General features: G+C 41.8%; 1 protein-coding gene across 2 annotated transcripts in view; it reads left to right on the top strand.

Annotated features, from left to right (window-relative positions):
• The window catches only part of AP1G1 (adaptor related protein complex 1 subunit gamma 1), a 79,835-nt gene that overhangs the window by 1,034 nt on the left and 59,246 nt on the right, over positions 1-19,555 (top strand). For both annotated transcript variants that reach the window (NM_001128.6, NM_001030007.2), the window contains exon 2: positions 18,319-18,522. In NM_001128.6, the coding sequence (NP_001119.3) occupies positions 18,322-18,522 (201 nt within the window). In that variant the 5' untranslated portion in view covers positions 18,319-18,321. The remainder of the gene's footprint in view (positions 1-18,318; positions 18,523-19,555) is intronic.

The raw sequence follows: 19,555 nt of genomic DNA, 5'->3' as shown, positions 1-19,555 counted from the left end.
GTAGGTAGAAAGGAGAGTTGGGCTGCTTTACAGTGATTAGTTAACAGAAGGGAGGAGTTAGTGCTTTCTTAGTGACCTTAACTTTGAAGTGTTTGTACAGTAATGATCTTTGCTGACTGATTCTAAAAAATACTTGTAATGATTTCATGTATTGGGTTTTTCTGGGGATAGCTGAATTTTAAATATTCACTTCCACCGTTCCCTAGAATACTTGTCAAATACCTAACTTGTCACACACCCTAACTTTCACGTTTGAAAAATATGAACCCTCTAAGTACTCGTAATCTCGTCACTTTTATTCTAAAGGCATGTTTGCAGTCTAGCATGCTTGAATAAAAAGTATGTCTTTATTTTTATTTATTTATTTTTTGAGACGAAGTCTCCCTCTGTCTCCAGGCTGGAGTGCAGTGGCACGGTCTCGGCTCACTGCAACCTACGCCTCCCGGGTTCAAGCAGTTCTCCTGCCTCAGCCTCCCAAGTAGCTGGGACTACAGGCACACGCCGCCACGCCCGGCTAATTTTTTGTTGTTGTATTTTAGTAGAGATGGGGTTTCATCATGTTGCCCAGGCAGATCTCGAACTCCTGAGCTCAGGTAATCCGCCCGCCTCGGCCTCCCAAAGTGCTAGGATTACAGGCGTGAGCCACCGTGCCTGGCAAAAAGTATTTCACAGTTATTCACTGATACATTTCCTACGTTTCAAGTTAGGCGAGTGTGATTGAATCACCCTTATTTCATCTCAGCCTGGGTTTTCACATCTGCAAAAGAGAAATTAACTTATTTGAGATCACAGTCTAGTGGTTGAAGTTTAAATTTATAACTTGAATTGAGTCAAGCTTTTTAATATTGCTAAGCCACTTATAGATGCATTATTATTATCAGGTTATTGAAATGAGATTGTAGATAAATTCCTCTATAGGTCATATGATGTCTCAGAAGAAAACAATATTTTCAGTTTAAATACTCAGTGATCTTGTTATTTAAGCAGATTTTTCAAAAATATATTAGTTACTATTAGATACGTGAGTTCTGTATTACCCTGAAGCAATGGAATTTTCTCTTTTGGTTTAAAGGAACTGTCAAACACTGAACACCTATGTAATGCTCACTCATTTAGTAAGTATGCCCTCGCAGTTACTACTGAAATGTTCCATTTCTGACTTAGACTTTTCAAGTAAGGTGTTAGAAGAGCTATCACATAGATGTTAGTTAACTCAGTGTTTTTCATGCTTTAATATATTGGTATTTAAATGTCATTCAGGCGGGCGCTCAGTGGCTCATGCTTGTAATCCCAACACTTTGGGAGGTGGAAGGTGGATCCCTTGAGCCCAGGAGTTGGAGGCCAGCCTGGGCAACCTAATGAGACTCCGTCTCTACCAAAATATTTAAAAATATTAAACTTTTAAAAATTCATTCTTAGATAGTTTGCATTCACTGTAGAAAGGGTCCTTTTGCCTTAACAAATTCCTAGCAAAGTGTTGTTTAGTGCACCATTGATCAGTGCATATTTGAATGTCTGCTTTGCGTTTAGGAAACCTCCGTTTTCTTTTGGGGGCAGTTGCTTGTTCTTTGGTCTGACCTCTGTCATTGATAGCAGTTCTAGATTTGAGGGCAGATTTTAGAGTGAAACTTTAAAGTACAGAATTTGCCAGGAATGCCTTGGTGATATTTCACCCCAGTGTTTATTTAAAAAAGGAGTTTTAAAAATCAGTGGTATGCAAACAAAACCAACTTCTTTATGATTTATAAAAACTCTTTTTTTTTTTTTTTATTATTTTTATTGTTTGAGACAGGGTCTCACTCTGTTGCCCAGGCTGGAGTGCAGTGGTCTCAGCTCACTGCAGCCTGGACCTCCTGGACTCAAGCGATCCTCCTGCCTCAGCCCTCCACGTAGCTGGGACTACAGGCGTGTGCTACCACGCAGGGCTAATTTTTGTATTTTTTGTATAGATAGTGTTTTGTCATGTTGCCCAGGCTGGGCTCAAGCAATCCTCTTGCCTCGGCCTCGCAAAGTGCTGAGATTACAGGTGTGAGCCACCTCACCTGGCCAAAACTTTTAATTTATACAAATTTAAAAAGTTGAATGAGTATTTTCCAAGATATTATTTTTAATTAAAAAAATTGAATTGGCAATCTACATACCAAAACAGATTTTCCACAATGCTTAATCCCCTTATTTGCATTTGATGAGGATTTTAAAATTTTGTGTATATAGCAGGACTTAATTGCTATCAAAACTTTAAAACTCTTACTTAGAGCTTCAGAACATTTAAAAATACTGTTTTAGGTGTTTGTAATTTAGTCTGTCCTTGCTTTATGAATTGTTTTCAGTTCTTTTTTGTTTGTTTTTTGAGACAAAGTCTTACTCTGTCTCCCAGGCTGGAGTGCAGTGGCTCGATCTCGGCTCACTGTGCAACCTCCACCTCCTGGATTCCAGTGATTTCTGCTGCCTCAGCCTCCCGAGTAGCTGGGATTACAAGCGTGCGCCACCATGCCCAGCTAATTTTTGTATTTTTAGTAGAGGCGGGGTTTCACCATGTTGGCTAGGCTGGTCTCGAACTCCTGAGCTCAAGTGATCCACCCACCTTGGCCTCCCAAAGTGCTGGGATTACAGGCAGGAGGAGCCACTGCGTTCAGTCTGTTTTCGGTTCTTGATTTTGGCTTTCTTTATTCTCTGTTGCTTTTACTCAGTTTCTAATGCAGAATAATGTTGAAAGTAGCAAACAATTTTTTTTCAACTCCTCTCAGCTTATAAGTAACAAGCAATTTTATTTTTATTGATTGATTGATTGAGACAGGTTCTCACTCTTTCACCCAGGCTGGAGTGCAGTGGTGCAATCTCAGCTCACTGCAGCCTCGACCTCCTCCCAGGTTCAAGTGATCCTCCCACTTCAGCCTCCTAAGTAGCTGGGACTGTAGGCATGTGCCGCCTGATTTATTATTTTTTTGTGGAGACGGGGATTCGCCATGTTGCCCAGGCTGGTTTCAAATTCCTGGGCTCAAGAGGTCCTCCCACCTCTGTCTCCCAAAGTGCTGGTATTAAAGGTGTGTGCCACCATGCCTTGCCCACAAGCAATTTTAAACTTAAGAGAGCAGGCTGGTGCAGTGGTTCATGCCTGTAATCCCAGCACTTTGGGAGGCCGAGGCAGGCGGATCACTTGAGGTCAGGAGTTTGATACTAGCCTGGTCAACATGATGAAATCCCGTCTGTACTAAAAATACAAAAGTTAGCCGGGCATGGTGATGTGCACCTGCATTCCCAGCTACTTAGGAGGCTCAGGTGGGAGGATTGCTTGAACAGGGAGGTGGAGGTTGCAGTGAGCTGAGATCACGCCACTGCACTCCAGCCTGGGTGACAGATGGAGGCTCTGTCTCAAAAAAAAAAAAAAAAAATTAAGAGAGCATATAGAAATCTTTTGTATTTCTTGGCTTACAGGTTTTGAAATGATCTTTGTTGGCTGGGCGAGGTGGCTCATGCCTGTAATCCCAGCACTTTGGGAGGCCGAGGCGGGTGGATCACGAGGTCAGGAGATCGAGACCATCCTGGCCAACATGGTTAAACCCCATCTCTACAAAAAAATAGAAAAATTAGCTGGGCATGATGGTGCGCGCCTGTAGTCCCAGCTACTCGGGAGACTGAGGCAGGAGAATCACTTGAACCTGGGAGGTGGAGGTTGTGGTGAGCTGAGATCACGCCACTGCACTCCAGCCTGGGGACAGAGCGAGACTCTTGTCTCCAAAAAAAAAATAAATAAATAAAATATGTTTATCAAAATGTAGTAGCATTTTTACAGTTGCCTTTTTGTATAGAAAATTTTATTTCAATGAGGTCAAGAAATAGAAAAGGGAAAAGAGGTGTCTTTTTTTTTTTTTTTTTTGAGACGGAGTCCTCCTCTGTTGCCCAGGCTGGAGTGCATCGGAGCCATCTCTGCTTACTGCAACCTCCGCCCCCTGGTTCAAGCAATTCTTCTGCCTCAGCCTCCCGAGTAGCTGGGACTACAGGTGTGCGCCACCATGCCTAGCTAATTTTTGTATTTTTAGTAGAGACAGGGCTTCACCCTGTTGACCAGGCTGATCTTGAATTCCTGGGCTCAAGTGATCCACCAGCCTTGGCCTCCCAAAGTGCTGGGATTACAGGCATGAATGAGGTGTCATTTTTACTTTGAAGATACGTGTTAAGTTTTTTTCTTCACTGACCTAGTAACACAATACACTTAATATGGCATGAGTTTTGGTTGCTGGAAAAACTGGTTAAAGTTTGAAGGGTCCAGAAGTGGGAGAAAAAAAACTCACTTGCCAAATGTGTTGAGTCAGCATTAACTAACACTTTAGCATAAAAGGGCAAGGTTTAGGATGAGATGATTGAAATGAGAAATGCTTTTTTTCACTAGGTACTTGGAAATTTTACTTTAAAAAAAAGCCTACTCAGACCATTGGAGAGATTTAATTAGTAAATCATAAATGTTGGCAACAAATTAAGTAGGTTTAGAAGGAAGAAGTCATTTTTTTAAAAGATGAGGAAAAAATACATGTGACTTTTGTAATTTATAAATAAAAACATCTTATTATTTATTTATTTATTCTTTTTGAGACAGAGTCTCACTCTGTCACCCAGGCTGGAGTGCAGTGGTGCCATCTCAGCTTACTACAGCCTCTACCTCCTGGGTTCCCGCGATTCTTGTGCTCAGCCTCCCGAGTAGCTGGGACTGCAGGCGTGCACCACTGTACCTGGCTACTTTTTGTATTTTTAGTGGAGACGGGGTTTTGTCACGTTGGCCAGGCTGGTCTCGAAATCCTGACCTCAGGTGATTCACCTGCTTCAGCCTCCCAAAGTGCTGGGATTATAGGTGTGAGCCACCGAGCCTGGCTAAAATATTTTAAATCTTTCAAAGATATGTAAAGATGTTACGTGTTTTCTCAACCTAAAAATAAACTTCGCTGGCCAGACCTGGTGGCTCATGTCTGTAATCCCAGTACTTTGGGAAGCCAAGTCAGAAGGATCACTTGAGGACAGGAGTTTGAAACCAGCCTGGGAAACACAGTGGGACTCTGGCTGTACGAATTTTTTTTTTGAGACAGAGTCTTGCTCTGTCACCCAGGCTGGAGTGCAGTGGTGCGATCTCGGCTCACCTCAACCTCCGCCTCCTGGGTTCAAGCGATTCTTCTGCCTCAGCCTCCCAAGTAGCTAGAATTACAGGCGCCCGCCACCATGCCCAGTTAATTTTTGTACTTTTAGTAGAGATGGGGTTTCACCATGTTGGACAGGCTGGTCTTGACCTCCTGACCTCAGGTGATCCACCCACCTCGGCCTCCCAAAGTGCCGGGATTACAGGCATGAGCTACCGCGCCTGGCCCAAAATTTTTTAAAGTAGCTGGGTTGTGGTGTCTTTGCCAGTAGCCTTAGCTGCCTGGGAGCCTGAGGCAGGAAGATCACTTGAACCCAGGAGTTCAAGGCTGCAGTGAGCTAAGACTGTGCCACTGCACTCCAGCCTGGGTGACAGAGATAGACTGTCTCAAAAAAAAGAGGTAAGTAAAAAACGCTTCTTTTGCTTCCTTTTAAGACTGAACACTTTTTCAGTTGTTTAGTTTTGAGGTTTAGTTAAATAGGTTCACTAACTTGAGCTGTAAAAACACTAATGGAACTCCTTTTACTTTGAGTTGTACAACTGTATAATCATTTATATAAGTTAGCTCTTTCAACCAAATACACATTGAGTATCTCTTATCTGAAATGCTTGAGACCAGAAATGTTTCATATTTTGGATTTTTTCAGATTTTGGAATATTTGCGTTACACCACTTGTACATCCCTAATCCTAAAATCCAAAATCTGAAACACTTGCAGAGCATTTTTTTCTTTTCTTTTTTTTTTTTTTTTTTGGTTACGGAGTCTCGCCCTGTCGCCCAGGCTGGAGTGCAGTGGCGCAATCTCGGCTCACTGCAAGCTCCGCCTCCCGGGTTCATGCCATTCTCCTGCCTCAGTCTCCAGAGTAGCTGGGACTGCAGGCGCCCGCCACCACGCCTGGCTAATTTTTTGTATTTTCAGTAGAGACGGGCTTTCACCATGTTAGCCAGGATGGTCGTGATCTCCTGACCTTGTGATCTGCCCGCCTCAGCCTCCCCTGCTGGGATAACAGGCGTGACCCACCGCGCCCGGCCTTGAAGAGCATTTCTTCAAGCATCATGTCAACAATCAAAAAATGTCAGGTTTTGGAGAATTTCAGATTTTGGATTAGGGATGTTTACCCTATAGTGTTTACCCTGTAGTGTTACATCATCTGTTCTATGACAGTCTTAATTTTAACCCCAAATTTTAACAGATTATGAATGAATTTACGCTTCAATATTTCTCTCAATGCTTAGTTAAGTACTGTACATACTCACGTAAGTGTACATAGGAATTTTTTGTTTTTACTAAAGAGAGATCATATTATTTATATTACTCTATGACACGCTTTTTTTTTTTTTTAACATGTCATGGTCAGTAAATATAATTCTTTTTTTTTGTTTGTTTGTTTTTTTTGAGATGGAGTCTTACCCTGTCACCCAGGTGGTGGGAATCTCCGCCTCCTGGGTTCAGTGATTCTCCTGCCTCAGACTTCAGAGTAGCTGGGATTATAGGCACCTGCCACCACACCCAGATAATTTTTGTATTTTTAGTAGAGATGAGGTTTCGCCATGTTGGCCTGGCTGGTATCAAACTCCTGACCTTAAGTGATCTGCCTGCCTTGGCCTCCCAAAGTGCTGGGATTACAGGCATGAGCCACCGCGCCCAGCCAATATAATTCATTTTTGTTTTGTTTTTTTGAGACGGAGTTTTGCTTTTGCTGCCCAGGCTGGAGTGCAATGGCGTGATCTCAGCTCACCGCAACCTCCGCCTCCCAGGTTCAAGTGATTCTCCTGCCTCAGCCTCCCGAGTAGTTGGGATTACAGACATGTGCCACCATGCCCCGCTAAGTTTGTATTTTTAGTAGAGATGGGGTTTCTTTCTTTTTTTTTTTTGAGACGGAGTCTCGCTGTGTTGCCCAGGCTGGAGTGCAGTGGCGCGATCCCAGCTCACTGCAAGTTCTGCCTCCCAGGTTCACGCCATTCTCCTGCGTCAGCCTCCCGAGTAGCTGGGACTACAGGCACCCACCACCACGCCTGGCTAATGTTCTGTATTTTTAGTAGAGATGGGGTTTCACCATGTTAGCCAGGATGGTCTCCATCTCCTGACCTCGTGATCTGCCCACCTTGGCCTCCCAAAGTGCTAGGATTAAAGGCGTGAGCCCCCGCACCCGACCCGAGACGGGGGGGTTTCTCCATGTTGGTCAGGCTGGTTTTGAACTCCCGACCTCACATGATCCTCCCACCTTGGCCTCCCAAAGTGCTAGGATTACAGGTGTGAGCCACCGTGCCTGGCCAATATAATTCTTTTTTTTTTTTTTTTTGAGATGGGGAGTCTTGCTCTATCACCCAGGCTAGAGTGCAGTGGTGCGATCTCGGCTCACTGCAAGCTCCACCTCCTGGGTTCACGCCATTCTCCTGCCTCAGCCTCCCGAGTAGCTGGGACTACAGGCGCCCACCACCACACCCGGCTAATTTTTTTGTATTTTTTTTTTTAGTAGAGACAGAGTTTCACCATGTTAACCAGGATGGTCTTGATCTCCTGACCTCGTGATCCACCTGCCTCGGCCTCCCAAAGTGCTGGGATTACAGGCGTGAGCCACCGTGCCCGGCAATATAATTCTTTATTATTATTTTTTTAAAAGATGACATTTTGCTATGTTGCTCAGGCTGATCTCGAACTCCTGGGCTTGAGCAATCTGCCTGCATCGGCCTCCCAAAGTGCTGGGGTTACAGGCGTGAGCCACCGCACCCAGCCAATATAATTTTTTATTATTATTATTATTATTATTATTTTTAAGATGGAACCTCGCTCTGTCACGAAGGCTGGAGTGCAGTGGCGCAGTCTCGGCTCACTGCATGCTCTGCTTCCTGGGTTCACGCCATTCTCCTGCATCAGCCTCCCGAGTAGCTGGGACTGCAGGCACCTGTCACCACACCCCGCTAATTTTCTGTATTTTTAGTAGAATTGGGTTTCACCATGTTAGCCAGGATGGTCTTGATCTCCTGACTTCATGATCCGCCTACCTTGGCCTCCCAAAGTGCTGGGATTACAGGTGTGAGCCACCGCTCCCAGCCTATTAGTTTTTTAATAAGAGATGAGATATAGCTGTATTGCTCAGGCTGGTCTCAAACTCCTGGACTTGAGCAGTCTGCCTCCTGTGGCCTCCCAAAGTGCTGAGATTACAGGTGTGAGCCACTGCACTCAGCCCACAGTAAATATAATTCTATCTTGTTCCTTTAAACAGTCCTATTGTGTCTTATAGCGTGGATGTACCATAATTTATTATTTTCCTGTGGACATTTAGATCATTTCTAGATTTTTGCCACTTAACAAAGTGCTACAATAAATATCCTTGTACATGCCGCCTTATATGCTGATGCTTTTATTTCTGTAGTCTCCAAAGGGGGAATTCTGGGTTAACAGAGAAATATATTTTAAATATTATTATTGCTAGATTACTCTCTAAATAGGTTATCATAATTTTCATCCCAAATAGCAGTAACTTCTCCATATCATGAAACCACTGGGTATAAATACATAGTTTAATTTTTACTAGTCTGCTAGATGATAAATGGGTCATGCAGTTTGTCTTAATTTTAACTTCCCTGTTACTGGGGCTAGCCTTATTTGATACGTATAATAGCCATTGGATTTCCTTTACCGAGAATTGTCTGCTCATGTCCTTGCTTCATTTTTCTTTCTCTTTTTTTTTCCTCCTGTAGGAGCGCTTATGGAATGTTAATTCTTTGTTATATGGCACGTGTATTTTTCTTGTCTTTCATTTATCCTTTTTTTTTTTCCTGGGAGACAGAGTCTCACCCTTGTCGCCCAGGCTAGAGTGCAGTGGTGTGATCTCGGCTCACTGCAGCCTCTGCCTCCTGGGTTCAAGCAATTCTCCTGCCTCAGCTTCCTGGGTAGCTGGGATTACAGGTGCCCGCCACCATGCCCGGCTAATTTTTGTACTTTTAGTAGAGACAGAGATTCGCCATGTTGGCCAGGCTGGTCTCAAACTCCTGACCTCAGGTGATCTGCCTGCCTCTGCCTTCCAAAGTGCTGGGATTACAGGCGTGAGCCACCGCACCACGCCCGGCCTCATTTATCTTTTAATCTTATTTATGTCACAGACATTTTCAGGTAATTATATATATCCCTCTTTTCCTCTTTGGTTTCTGAAACTGTCTTAGAATCCATTCCAGCTGGGTGCAGTGGCTCATGCCTGTAATCCCAGCACTTTGGGAGGCCGAGGCTGGCGGATCACGAGGTCAGGAGACTGAGATCATCCTAGCTAACAAGGTGAAACCTTGTCTCTACTAAAAATACAAAAAAATTAGCTGAGCGTGGTGGCACGCGCCTATAGTCCTGGCTACTCGGTAGGGTAAGGCAGGAGAATTGCTTGAATCTGGGAGGCAGTGTAGAGACACAGTCTCACTGTATTGCCCAGGCTGGTTTCTAACTCATGGCCTCAAGTGATCCTCCCACCTTGGCCTCTAAAGTGTTGGGATTACTGGCGTGAGCCACCGCACCCAGCCTTAACAGTTTTTGATGATAATTTTTCCTTGCTGTAGTGTGTGTCTGTTTGTTCAAGTTTATTTTAGGTCTTTCAACAAATATTTTATAGATTTCGTAGTTTTTTTCGTATAGTTCCTATACCTTTCTTACTAAATTTATTCCTACGTATTTTATTTTGACACTATTGTCAATGGGACTGTTTACCCTCCATTTCTAACTAGTTAATATCAGATACATTAATTAAAAGTAAATATTATACCATCTTTAATTTTCTTTGGACAACTCCCCCACTCTCCTTGTATATCCAGAATTAATAGAACTTGGATTCATGAAGAATATGCTAGGGAAAATTTGTCATCTTAGTATTAAGTAACTTTTTTTTTTTGAGACTGCGTCTTGCTCTGTCGCCCAGGCTGGAGTGCAGTGGCACGATCTCAGGTCACTGCAATCCCCGCCTCCTGGGTTCAAGCGATTCTCCTGCCTCAGCCTCCTGAGTAGCTGGGGTCACAGGCGTGCACCACTGCGCCCGGCTAATTTTTGTATTTTTAGTAGAGATGGGGTTTCACTATGTTGGTCAGGCTGGTCTTGAACTCCTGACCTCATGATCTGCCTACCTCAGCCTCCCAAAGTGCTGGGATTACAGGGGTGAGCCACCGTCTCCGGCTATATTAAGTAACTTTCTAATGTTTCTGCTTGTCATCCTAGGGAAGAGTACACTTAGATAAGTTTTTCTGGAATGAATGACACCTTACTAGGTTTGAAAGTTTACAGTTGCTTTATTTATACGTTTTTGTTAATTTGTTTGCTTTTTTTCAAAGCAAGTTTTATTCCAAGTTTTACATGCTCATTACTTGAAAGATAGCAGACTATATATAGAAGTTAAAAAGGCATCCATATTTACATCAGATAACCTCCTTCAACATTAATTATACCCTTTGGGTCATGTCTTTAAGCCAAATTTTCGTTTTGAGAATTTGATGATACTTCTTGAATTGAGAGTACTTTAGTATGGTTTTGCTAATAAGATTATGGTTGGGAGAATGAAATTTTTTTTTATTTCATTAGTGTCAGATTAGATGTTTGTCTTGTTTAGCGATCATTGTTTACTTGGCCTTTATTGCTTTTCATGCTTATATACATATACATACATATATATATATATATATAATTTTTTTTTTAAGAGTCAGGGTCTTGCTGTGTTGCCTAGGCTGGTCTTGAACTCCTGGAATCAAGCATTCTGCCCTCCTCGGCCTCCCAGAGTGCTGGGATTACAGGCCTGAGCCACTGTGCCCAGTCTGCTTTTTATGCATCTCAGTGCTGTTGAATTGTTCAGTAGGCATGTTTGCATTTATAGACATCTGCTTTTTAGATCTCAGTTCTGGTGAATTTTGGTTATGGATAATTAAGCATAAAATAAGATTCCTGTAATTACTGTGACAATTTAGGGAGAATTGAACTTAAGTCCTCTTAGAGGGATGCCAGCTGGCTGCCTAGACAGGGTGGGGTGGTATCTCAATGTGATCCTACATTCCACAGCCTATTCTTTAGCCTTGAAGATCCAGAAATTCCATTTTAGTAGTTCATCTCCTAGGGGTGATTGAGACCAATCAAACACACTGATTTGTAAGTTATAATAATACTGTAGTATTGTAATTCACAAGGGGGGGATATGCTTTTCTCCTGAATTACTTGTGTCTGCATTCCACAGGACACTATTCCTTGTATGGAGGTACTTGGGAGTTGAGGCGCTTAAGGAAGTATTTAATAATCAGAAAGTTGCACTGTGAGCCTGAAACAGACCATATAAAGTTGGTCTTGAGTGTTTTGTCATTTTAAGCCATGGTGAAACCTGATCAAAGAATTATGCTTGTCTTACAATGCTGTTTGCCTCTCTAAAGACCAGAATACTTATCCCCAGATTTATTTCATTGTATTATTATTATTTTTGAGACGGTCTTACTTCACAACCCAGGCTGGAGTGCAGTGATTCGATCTCAGCTCACTGCAACCCAAGTCCCCTTGGCTCAAGTGATCCTCCCACATCAGCCTCCCGAATAGCTAGGACTACAGACGCATGCGCCACCACTCCCAACTAATTTTTGTATTTTTAGTAGAGACTGGGTGTCGCCATGTTGCTCAGGCTGGTCTTGAACTCCTGGACTTGAGCAGTCTACCTGCCTCGGCCTCCCAAAGTGCTGGGATTACAGGCGTGAGCCACCACGCCTGGCCTATCCCCAGATTTAATCTCTCCTATTCAAACAGTGAAGTTCTAACTCTGGTCTTTTCCGTTTATTCACTGTAGACCATTTCCCTTCTGTGAACACATTTCTTCATATAGGGGAAATAGGTATGCACCCCTCTACTCCCCTCAAAAGAAAGAAAACCACAAAAACACAGGCAGTGAGAAAACCAGCTAGGCTAGATCAGTGTAATGATAGCCAGAATAAGATGTATTGTAAAGTAAAAGTCTGATTGAAGCATAATACAATCAGTTGATTTGATTTAAGCTTTTCTAGTGTCACATTCTAGTCATAGTATTTTGCAGGTTGTAAATGGCGTTAAAGCAACTCAGATATACATATGAAATAAAAATCTGAAATAGGGGTTCTGTATGGCCCATAATATAAAAATATAGGCCATCTGGAGAATGCAAGAGGGAAAGCATGGTAACTTCTTTGGAGGGTTTTGCCTGATGTTAACTTACATCCCTTGAACATTCTCAGCTAGACTGACATTCTGTGACTGACACAGTAGTCAATGGTGAAGTTAATTGAAGTCTTGCTTATTTGCTTGGGTCTTTTCTCATTGTTTAGCCAGAAAGACTTCTTCAAGTACAATCTTTGTTGGATAGAAAAATAGGTGATTTTAATGTTGAAAAGTTAAGTTTTAGAATTTTGTTTTTAGATTTAGAGCTCAAATAACTTGAGGTCTGTTAGGGGAAGACTGACCACATAGTTGCAGAAGCTCCAGCTTTTTGGTTGTGTCCTTGATAGTTGGCTGTCAGTAGCTGAAAGTGCACAGTGGGCAGTGTGAGTTCTAAAGCAGGGAGAACGTTATCTGGGCAGGGTAGAAGAGAGAACTGGGTTGAGTTCTGACACCCTTTTTCCATAGCTGTTGGTGAGCAGCTGGTACACCTTTATTTTGTGTGCTTTGGAAAGGACAATTCAATTTTTTTAAAGATATTTTAGCATTTAGGATTTAATAAATATAGTATTTATCAAGTTTGTATTCTTATAGGAGGATACAAGAGTGAACAAGGCAAATGAAGATCTAGCCTTAGGGAGCTTGTATTTAGTGGGAAAAATAGGCATTTCAAAGTAAAAAAAAAAAAAAAAAAAAAAAAAAAAAGCACTTCTCATGGCCTGAGAATGGTATTGCTGTATGAGAAAAATCTTTATCCTTAAAGGGATTTGTGGAGATGTTGGAAAATAGCCATCTTCACCATTTTGGCCATAAATTTTAGGAGAATTGAAACATGCACACATTATTTTTTTCTTCTATTTACATTTTTTTCCTTTAGTTTGTTTATAATTTTGATTCTTTGGGCATATAAAGTAATCTTATTTAGTTTAAGCTCCAAAACCCAATTTTGCTTAACCATTTTGGATAGAAATTTTTCTAAAATGAATTTTATGTTTCCTTTTTTCCTCTGTTTTTATCATTATTTATCATATAACTGTTAATAAAAACTGAAACACATTAATCTATAATCCGTGTCCCTTAAGTCAGACTTTTAATATTTTTGTGTTCGCTTTCCATCCTTGTTTTAAGAGATGTTTTTATTATTTGCTTTAAAAAAACAGGACAAAGAGGGACATTTTATTTTGTTATAGTGTACAAGCCATAATGAATATAAAATATGGAACACTTAAGCATAGAGTGAAACCATCGAAATACTAAATGTAAGTGGTTATATGTAAATGGAGAAATTGACAGAAGCACAATCATAGTGGTAGACTTTAACATACCTTTCTCAGTCTTTGATGGGTCAGGTAGTTAAATTAGTAAGGGCAGATGGTATCTGAACTGTAAGATTTTTAGAAGTTGGTTATAATACAGATATAATTTTGTATTCATGTTTTTTCCCTGTGCATTGAATGTTAAATGTTAATCTTATTTTAACCACTTCTTGGAGAATCAAGGTCTTTTTATAAAACCACATTATGGTCCAGGTGCGGTTGCTCATGCCTGTAATCCCAGGGCTTTGGGAGGCCAAGGTGGGTGGATCACTTGAGCTCAGGAGTTTGAGACCAGCCTGGGCAACATGATGAAACCTCATCTCTAAAAAAAATACAAAAATCAGCCAGTCAGCCTGGTGTGGTGGCTTGCGCCTGTAGTCCCAGCTACTTGGGGAGCTGAGGTGGGAGGATCGCTTGAGCCAAGGAGGCAGAGATTGCAGTGAGCCAAGGAGGCAGAGATTGCAGTGAGCCGAGATCGCACCACTGCACTCCAGCCTGGGTGGCAGAGTGAGACCCTGTCTCAAAAAGAAAGCAAAAAACAACAACAAAAACTATATTGTGGTACTGTTTATAATTTATTGGTGCTCTTAGGACCTTAGTGGGAGTTGGCTACTTTTTGGTTACACACTAAGTAGCTCCAGACTGTTTTAAAAATGCTTGTTTCTGCTGTATATAGGTTTTTATTTATTTGTTTGTTTTTGTTGCTGCTTTTGTTTCTTCCCTTGGTGTTGGGTGACATTTTTAACTATCATAGATACCCTTTTCTAAAGCAGTTTCTATCTCCTGGGTCCACCCTCCTCCCCTCTTTCCCTTACAGTTTTCTGATTTGTAGCTTCTATTCCAGAACGGGCTGAATGAGGACTTCTATCTGGAGTAAAGTAGATGTTATAGTGTGTTGATGTGTCACTCTCTATATTGGCTGCTTGAGATAATAAAAATGTGTTTTTGGATTCTCAGCTATGTTCTGTATAGTTTCATTACTGTGTTCCGGACTTTTTAAAAAAAGGTTGGAGTTTATTATTGTTATTTGTTTTGTTTGTTTGCTTTTTCTGTTTTTTGAGACAGGATCTTGTGCCATCGCCCAGGCTGGAGTGCAGTGGCCTGATCTCAGCTCACTGCAGCCTCACTCCTAGGCTCAGGTCATCCTCCCACCTCAGCCTCCCAAGTAGCTGGGACCACAGGTGCATGCCACCATGCCTGGCTCATTTTGTTTATGTTCTGTAGAGACAGGGTTTCAGCATGTCGCCCAGGCTATTCTTGAACTCTTGGGCTCAAGCGATCTGCTCGGGTCTGTGTCCCAAAGTGCTGTGATTGCAGGTGTGAGCCACCGTGCCCAGCCTCACTTGTAATTCCTTTTTTTTTTCTTTCTTTTTGACAGAGTCTCGCTCCGTCACCCTGGCTGGAGTGCAGTGGTGCGATCTTGACTCACTGCAATCTCCACTTCCCGGGTTAAAGCGATTCTCCTGCCTCAGCCTCTGTAGGAGCTGGGATCACAGGTGTGCGCCACCACGCCTGGCTATTTTTTGTATCTTTAGTAGAGACGGGGTTTTGCCATGTTGGCCAGGCTGGTCTCGAACTCCTGACCTCAGGTGATCCACCCATCTCAATGCTCCCAAAGTGCTAGGATTACAGGTGTGAGCCACTGCACCCGGCCTCCTCACTTGTAATTCTTTAACTTCCTGTTACTTCCAATGCTTGGTTCCTGTGGTGTGCCTCCTTCCTTTCAGTGCTTTGGCCAAAATACGGACTCACATTTCTTTGTTTTTCAGGGTTGGAAAGGGCTGGGATTTTCAGAATAGACTTTCTTATATATCTAGGGTAGAAATAAGTAAAAATTCCTGAAGATTTGTCATTGCCCTTCTCCACATATGTTAAGCATTATCTTCTCTTTCAGTCTGATTTTACCAGTTTAGAATGCCAAAAGGGACATAGCTTAACTGGTGGCTTTTTTGACCTGCCTGTGTTTGGAGGGCACGGTCTTTCAACCTGCCATACTGAAACTCCTGTGTAGACATCTTGACACCTTTATGGTTCAGATTAATAGAACCTTATTTTAGCCTTCCATCCCCCATAGTTCACGTCTCTAGTTTATTGACTCCGAAAATGACTTCATTTTTGAGGTGAGACTACCTTCAGCCATCCCTTGTATAAGAGTTTAGTGTTGGCCTGGCGTGGTGGCTCACACCTGTAATCCCAGCACTTTGGGAGGCCAAGGCGGGTGGATCACCTGAGGTCAGGAGTTCGAGACCAACCTGACCAACATGGTGAAACCCTGTCTCTACTAAAAATACAAAAATTAGCCAAGCATGGTGGTGCATGCCTGTAATACCACCTACTTGGGAGGCTGAGGCAGGAGAAGTGCTTGAACCCAGGAGGTGGAGGTTGCAGTGAGCCGAGATTGCGCCATTGCACTCCAGCCTGGGCAACGAGCGAAACTCCACCAAAAAAAAAAAAAAAAAAAGTCAGAGTTTAGTGTTAGCTTTTATAGGCCCAGCCGTGTGACCATATCTTAATATACCCATTACACACAACTTTTTTTTTTTTTTTTTTTGAGACAGGGTCTCACTCTGTCACCCAGGATACAGTGTCACAGCTTACTGCAGCCTCAGCCTCTAGGGCTCAGGCTATCCTCCTGCCTCAATCTCCTGAGTAGCTGGGACAGTAGTCGTGTGCCACTATGTTTGGCTAACTTTTTTTTATTATTTGTAGAGACAGCGTTTCCCTATCTACATACAACATTCTTCACAAGATTTTACAGTAATGTTTTGTTACTTGAGTGGTTAAATATGCCTTTAAGCAGGTTAGAATAACTAGTAATTTTCTCAGGTATATATTCTATAACTGATCAAATAGGTCTCAATTGTTTAGTTCAAGGGCTTTTTTGTTTACTTTAAAATAAACTCTTTAAAGTTAACATATGGTAAAATTGACTCTTCTGGTTTATTGTTTTACAGTTCTGTGAGGATTTTTTGTTTTTGTTTTTTTTGTTTTTTTTTTTTGTTTTTTTGAGACAGTCTTGCTCTGTTGCCCAGGCTGGATTGCAGTGGTGTGATCTTGGCTCACTGCAGTCTTGCCTCCCAGGCTCAAGCAATCCTCCTCCCTCAGTATCCCAAGTAGCTGAGCCTACAGGTGTGTGCCACCATGCCCAGCTAATTTTTGTATTTTTTGTAGAGACAGGGTTTTGCAATGTTGGCCAGGCTGGTTTCGAACTTCTGACCTCAGGTGATCTGCCTGCCTTGGCCTCCCAAAGTGCTGGCATTAAAGGCGTGAGCCACTGTGCCCAGCTGGTGTGTCCTATTTTCATAATGATGTCCTTTGGAGAGCAAAAATTTTAAACTTTGATAGGGTACAGTTATTAAGTTTTTCTTTTATACTTTGTGGTTGTGTGTGAAGTCTCTCTGTTTAACCTGTTTGCAAAGATTTTCCTCTGTGTTTTCTTCTGGAAGATTTTTAGTTTTAGCTTTGACTTTTAGGTTTGTGATCCATTTTTAGTTAATTTTTGTGTATTGTGTGTGGTTAGGATTGAGGTTAATTTTTTTCCCCCATGGAGAGAAATAGTTGCCAGCACCATTCATTGAAAGACTATCTTGCTCCTATTGAATAACTTTGGCCTCTTTGTTAAAAATCACTTGTGTATATTTGTGTGGGTTTATTCCTAAACTTTCAGTTTTGTTTCTATTCTTTTTTTTTTTTTTTTGAGATGGAGTTTCACTCTTGTTGCTCAGGCTAGAGGGCAATGGTGCAATCTTGGCTCACTGAAACCTCCACCTCCTGGGTTCAAGCAATTCTCCTGAGTAGCTGGGATTACAGGCATGTGCCACCATGGCCGGCTAATTTTGTATTTTTAGTAGAGATGGGGTTTCTCCATGTTGGTCAGGCTGGTCTCGAACTCCCGACCTCAGGTGATCCGCCCACCTTGGCCTCCCAAAGTGCTGGGATTACAGGCGTGAGCCACCGTGCCTGGCCTGCTTCAGTCTATTCTTACATTCAGTTAGTTCCACATTTCCCTGATTACTATAGCTTTGTAGTAATTCTTGAAATTAGGTAGTGCACGTTCTGTTTTTTCTGTTTGTTAACAATTATTTAGGCTGTTATATGTCCCTTATTAACGTTTTTTTTTTTTTACTTTTAAAAGATATTCATGACACTAATAGCCTTATTTTCTGAGGTTAGTTTATTTTTTTCTCATCACATTTTCAAAGTATACACACAGTGTACTGGGATGGTTACAGTTTGTTGAATGTGTTTTAATCTGACAATTGGTCTTCTCTCTTAATCTCTCATATTTTGTTGAGTTGAGCTATGATTGTGACCATATTTATTTTTGTTGAGCTATGTTATGTTTAACAGCAGTTGAACAGATAATATCTATCTTTTCTAAGGTTAGGCATAGGCCTTTCCTTATTACTTTAAGGATTGAGTAAAGATTTGAGTTGTATTAGTTTCTGAGATATTTTGATATTAGTGATAGACTTTACATATTTAGTGTATTCTTTGTTTTATTTTGCTTAATTTAATACTTAACCATATTTGTTTGTAGCCTTTCCAGAAATGTACAGAGTTGAGAGGTCTGTATGTAATAGCTTTGCGGAAGCTTAGCACGCTTTGTTTAGCTTCGCTAAGCTGGATTTGGCAAGTCTTGAATTCTTAAAAACTAGTCAAAAATTTAAATGGGAAGTTGTGTGAATAGCTTTGGTAGTAAAAAATGTGAACATCTCTATTTAATGTCTTTCCATATCCAGAGGATGCCAGCCCCCATCAGATTGCGGGAGCTGATCCGGACCATCCGGACAGCCCGAACCCAAGCTGAAGAACGAGAAATGATCCAGAAAGAATGTGCTGCAATCCGGTCATCTTTTAGAGAAGAAGACAATACATACCGATGTCGGAATGTGGCAAAATTACTGTATATGCACATGCTGGGCTACCCTGCTCACTTTGGACAGGTAGGCTGGGCTGAGACTACATGTAGCAAGGGTATTCTTTGACATTGTTGCTCAGGGATTGTCCATCTTTTTCTGGTGGGGAGGTACTTTTGATAGCCTTGTAGTCTGATCATTGTGGAACTGAGGGTAAGATTGAGAGAGCAAGCCACAGACCTGGAAAGGCATGATATTGCTATCAATTATCCTTTCCACTGGGAGTCTCATTATACGGATGAGAGAATGTTTTGATGGTGGCAGCTAGCTTGCTTAAAGATTGACCAGGATTATGTGGTGGTTCTGCCAGAGTACCTGGACTATAATGAATATTTAAGAAAATGTTTCTTGCTGGGCATGGTGGCTTGTGCCTGTAATCCCAGCTACTTGGGACACTGAAGTGGGAGAATCACTTGAGGCCAGGAGTTTGAGATCAGCCTGGGCAACATAGTGAGACCCTGCTCTTAAAAAAAAAAAAAAGCATGGTGTGGTAGAGCATGCCTTTAGTCCCAGCTACTCAGGAAGCTAAGTCAAGAGGATTGCTTGTGCCCCAGGAGTTTTGAGGCCTCATTGAGCTACGATTGCACCACTGTACTCCAGCCTGGGCAATAGAGTAAGATCCTATTTCTTTTTTTTTTAAAAAAAAAAGCTTGCTAAATGTCTTCTTAATTGCTTTATCTGGGCACAGCGTTGTGTGGAGAAGTTCACAATATGTTTTTCAGTTAAGGAAATTAGGTGGTTGCCAATTGGTGGCGTCTATTTTGTTCTAGTTACTTTGTGCCTTGATTGCTGTAACTAGAGCAGATCTGGCAGCTGATTCTCTCCCATGCACAAATGGTTACTATCTAAGATGTCCATTCTGGGCTTTGAGAATGATAGTCTCAATGATAAGTACTTTCTTCTTTGCATGTTTATATTGTCATAAGTGGGATTTAGTCATGGAAAAGGAAATAGTGGGTTTTTTTTATTTCATATTAGTGCTATTAAATTTTATTTTAATAATTTAAGAATTGTATTATATGCTAAATAGTCTCTCTAAGGAACAGACTGCCCAACTGAA

Source organism: Homo sapiens, chromosome 16 (genome assembly GCF_000001405.40).
Source record: "Homo sapiens chromosome 16, GRCh38.p14 Primary Assembly".
NCBI lineage: Eukaryota > Metazoa > Chordata > Mammalia > Primates > Hominidae > Homo > Homo sapiens.
This window is presented reverse-complemented; position numbering and strand designations above follow the sequence as displayed.